This window comes from Homo sapiens, chromosome 2, assembly GCF_000001405.40.
Source record: "Homo sapiens chromosome 2, GRCh38.p14 Primary Assembly".
NCBI lineage: Eukaryota > Metazoa > Chordata > Mammalia > Primates > Hominidae > Homo > Homo sapiens.
The window spans coordinates 64,253,553-64,258,120 of record NC_000002.12 but is presented as its reverse complement, the minus strand read 5'-3'; the positions used below and the strand labels follow the sequence as shown (position 1 = coordinate 64,258,120).

Below are 4,568 nucleotides of genomic sequence, written 5' to 3'. Positions count from 1 at the left end.
TTATTTTGAGAGTAAGTACAAAACAAAGCTTGCTTTGGGCACAATTCGTGTCTCAGCCTCCCTGGTACTGTACTACATATTCCCGTTTTCAAACAATTGATTGAAATAAACAATGATAGCTCAGCGATGGTAAAGACAAACAGAACTTGAGTTACTTCAATTCTGTCATTCTATGTGACTGCCGGAGTTTTTTATTGTGTTTAAATTTTCTGGAATTTATTGTGAAATGAGATTTTACGTATTTCTGCCAAATGTATCCTTATGTTTAAGGCTTTTTCTTACTTTTTTAATCTGTTCCTTCATGTGAAAGTAAGCTTTCAAAATAAAATTAATGAAAAATGTTCCTTGATCAAAGATAGATAGAAACTTCATGAATATGGGAAGAAAAATAACTCTGACAAAGTCATTGACAAATTTGCAGAAGTTAATCACAAAAACAGAAACCAAAAAATCACTATTCATGACTGTGAAATTTCATGCGTGTCCGTGTGAAGAGACCACCAAACAGGCTTTGTGTGAGCAATAAAGCTTTTAATCACCTGGGTGCAGGCGGGCTGAGTCCGAAAAGAGAGTCAGCAAAGGGAGATAAGGGTGGGGCCGTTTTATAGGATTTGGGGAGGTAAAGGAAAATTACAGTCAAAGGGGGTTTGTTCTCTGGCGGGCAGGAGTGGGGGGTCGCAAGGTGCTCAGTGGGGGTGCTTTTTGAGCCAGGATGAGCCAGGAAAAGGACTTTCACAAGGTAATGTCATCAGTTAAGGCAAGGACCGGCCATTTACACTTCTTTTGTGGTGGAATGTCATCAGTCAAGGTGGGGCAAGGCATATTCACTTCTTTTGTGATTCTTCAGTTACTTCAGGCCATCTGGGTGTATACGTGCAAGTCACAGGGGATGCGATGGCTTGGCTTGGGCTCAGAGGCCTGACATTCCTGCCTTCTTATATTAATAAGAAAAATAAAACAAAATAGTGTTGAAGTGTTGGGGCGGTGAAATTTTTGGGGGGTGGTATGGAGAGAGAATGGGCGATGTTTCTCAGGGCTGCTTCAAGCGGGATTAGGGGCGGCGTGGGAACCTAGAGCGGGAGAGATTAAGCTGAAGGGAGGTCTTGTGGTAAGGGGTGATATTGTGGGGTTGTTAGAAGAAACATTTGTCATATAGAATGATTGGTGATGGCCTGGATACGGTTTTGTATGAATTGAAAAACTAAATGGAATAACAGAAGGAGAAAAACAGGTATAAAAGGTCTAAGAATTGGGACGACTCAGGATGTCTGATTAGAGAGTGCTTAAGGAGATTCACCATAGTCCTGCCAGGAAAGATTATTTATTTACTTCAAGAGTTAAGAGTGGCAGTTTGGGGATAGCACCAGGAGATATCAGCTGTGATGGCTTGGAGAAATAGTGTAAACTGGCAGTGTAGACAAGAGCAGGGCATGTATGAGTAGTTGAGAACGGTGAATACGAGTATGAACTAGACAGAAAATAGTAGGGATGACAAGTTTGTTTGTTTGTTTGTTTGTTTTGAGGCACAGTCTAAGTTGGTCTGGTGTCTGGAATGAGACTGGGGCCTAATAAAAAGGAGCGTCTATACAGGAGCTTAAATGGGCTGTGCCTTGTAGCATTCCGAGGACAGGCCTGAATTCTGAGAAGGGAAAGTGGTAAAAGTATTATCCAGTCCTTTTAAAGTTGGTGGCTGAGCTTGGTGAGGTGTGTTTTTAAAAGACCTTTAGTCCATTCTACCTTTCTTGAAGATGGAGGACCATAAGGGATATAAAGGTTTCACTGAATACTAAGAGCCTGAAAAACTGCTTGGCTGATTTGACTAATAAAGGCTCGTCTGTTATCAGACTGTACTGAGGTGGGAAGGCTAAACTGAGGAATTATGTCTGACAGAACGGAAGAAATGACTGCGGTGACCTTCTCAGACCCTGTAGGAAAGGCCTCTACTTATTTTGAGGGCCTCTAAAAGTATTAAAGCAGCGGCAGCCACTGCACACAGACTTGAGGGCTAGGCTAAAACAGTAAGGTCAAGTTGTTTGGACAGAAAGGCATGCCTAGGAAGGAAAGGAGTTGTTGTTTTGTAGAAGGTGCTTGGGTTTGAGAGATCAGTTGGACACGATTGGCAGGGAGAGCACGTGTGTTTTTATGAGAATTATGCCGAGATAGGTAACAGATGAGGAGGAAATCTGGGCTTGATTGAAGTAATGGGGGCTGTCTGTGAAGCTTTGCGGCAGTACAGCCTAGGTAATTTGCTGAGCTTGATGGGTGTCAGGGTCAGTCCAAGTGAAAGCGAAGAGAGGCTGGGATTAAGGGTGCAAAGCAATAGTAAAGAAAGCAGGTTTGAGATCTGAACAGAATAATGGGTTGTAGAGGCAGGTATTGAGGATAGGAGAGTATATGGGTTTGGCACCACAGGGTGGATAGGCAAAACAATTTGGTTGATAAGGCGCAGATCCTGAACTAACTTGTAAGGCTTGTCTGGTTTTAGGACAGGTAAAATGGGGGAATTGTAAGGAGAGTTTATAGGGTTTAAAAGGCCATGCTGTAGCAGGCGAGTGATAACAGGCTTTAATCTTTTTAAAGTGTGCTGCGGGATGGGATATTGGCGTTGAGTGGGGTAAGGGTGATTAGGTTTTAATGAGATAGTAAGGGGTGCATGATTGGTCGCCAAGGAGGGAGTAGAGGTATCTTATACTTGTGGGTTAAGGTGGGGGGATAGAAGAGGAGGACGCAAAGGAGGCTTTGGATTGGGAAGAAGGGCGGCAGTGAGATATAGCTGTAGTCCAGGAATAGTCAGGGAAGCAGATAATTTAGTTAAAGTGTCTCAGCCTAATAAGGGAACTGGGCAGGTGGGGATAACTAAAAAGGAGTGCTTAAAAGAGTATTGTCTAAGTTGGCACCAGAGTTGGGGAGTTTTAAGAGGTTTAGAAGCCTGGCCATCAATACCCACAACAGTTATGGAGGCAAGGGAAAGAGGCCCTTGAAAAGAGGGTAATGTGGAGTGAGTAGCCTCTGTATTGATTAAGAAGGGGACGGGCTTACCTTCCACTGTGAAAGTTACCCGAAGCTCGGCGTCCGTGATGGTCTAGGGGTCTTCCGAGGTGATCGGGCAGTGTCAGTCTTCAGCCGCTAAGCCGAGAAGATCTGGGAAGGAGTCAGTCAGAGAGCCTTGGGCCAGAGTTCCAGGGGCTCTGGGAGTGGCTGCCAGGTGAGTTGAACAGTCCGATTTTCAGTGGGGTCCCACACAGATGGGACACGGCTTAGGAGGAATCCCAGGCTGCGGGCCTTCCTTGGCCCAGTGGCCAGATTTCCGGCACATGTAGCAAGCTCATGGGGGAGGAGGTTCTGGAGGAACCCCTGGCAGCTGCGGTTCAGGCGTTTGGAAGTTCTTGTGTGCTGGAGATGTGGCTGGGGTTTGTCTCACAGTGGAGGCAAGGAATTGCAACTTTTTTCTATTATGGTACACCTTGAAGGCGAGGTTAATTAAATCCTGTTGTGGGGTTTGAGGGCTGGAATTTAATTTTTGGAGTTCTAATGTCGGGAGAAGATTGGGTAATAAAATGTATTTTGAGAATAAGATGGCCTTTTGACTTTTTAGGGTCTAGGGCTGTAAAGTGTCTCAGGGTTGCTGCGGAACAAGCCATGAACTGGGCTGGGTTTTTATATTTGATGAAAAAGAGCCTAAACACTATCTGATTTGGGATAAAGAAAAAGGAGCATTAACCTTGACTATGCCTTTGGCTCCCGCCACCTTTTTAAGAGTAAATTGCTGGGCAGGTGGGGGAGGGCTAGTCACAGAACGAAACTGTAAGTCGGACCAGGTGTGAGGAGGGGAGGTGATAAAAAGATTACAGGGTGGAGGAGCGGAGGCTGAGGAAGAATTGGGACCTAGCTTGGGCTGGCGAGGAGGGGAGAGGTCAGATGGGTCTGTAGAAAAGGAAGATTAGAAAGACTCAGCGACGCTTGGGGTTGGTACTGAGGGGACAGGCGGGAGGGAAAGAAGGAAGATTTGGGATGAGTTGCACTGGTCACAGAGACTAGGAAGGGACTGATGTGTAAAAGAATGCCTGGACATCAGGCACCTCAGACCGTTTGCCTATTTTACAACAAGAATTATTTAGATTTTGCAGGATGGAAAAATTCAAAGTGCCATTTTCTGGCTATTTGGAACTACTGTCGAGTTTGTATTGGAGTCAAGCGGCATTGCAGAAGAAAATAAGGCATTTAGGTTTTAGGTCAGGTGTGAATTGAAGAGGTTTTAAGTTTTTGAGAACACAGGCTAAGGGAGAAGAAGGAGGAATGGAAGGTGGAAGCTTACCCATAGTGAAGGAGGCAAGCCCAGAGAAAAGAGTAGAGACATGGAGAAGGGGTGGGGGGTTCTTGCCCTCTAGAAAAGCAGAGAAGGGGTTGGGGCACGGAAATAAGGGATTGGGGCACAGAGATAAGAGGTCAGGGTGCGGAAATAAGGGATTGGGGCACAGAGATAAGAGGTTGGGGCGTGGAAATAAGCGATTGGGGTGCAGAGATAAGAGGTTGGGGTGCGGAAATAAGCGGTTGGGGGGTTCTTGCCC

General features: G+C 45.4%; 1 annotated feature.

The window, feature by feature from the left end:
• Positions 360–1,060: an enhancer, noted in NCBI's record as "OCT4-NANOG-H3K27ac hESC enhancer chr2:64484195-64484895 (GRCh37/hg19 assembly coordinates)". NCBI's record gives its function as "activates a minimal SCP1, AML or CMV promoter by ChIP-STARR-seq in naive H9 embryonic stem cells {active_cell/tissue: H9 hESC(naive)}" and the evidence as "EXISTENCE:reporter gene assay evidence [ECO:0000049][PMID:30033119]".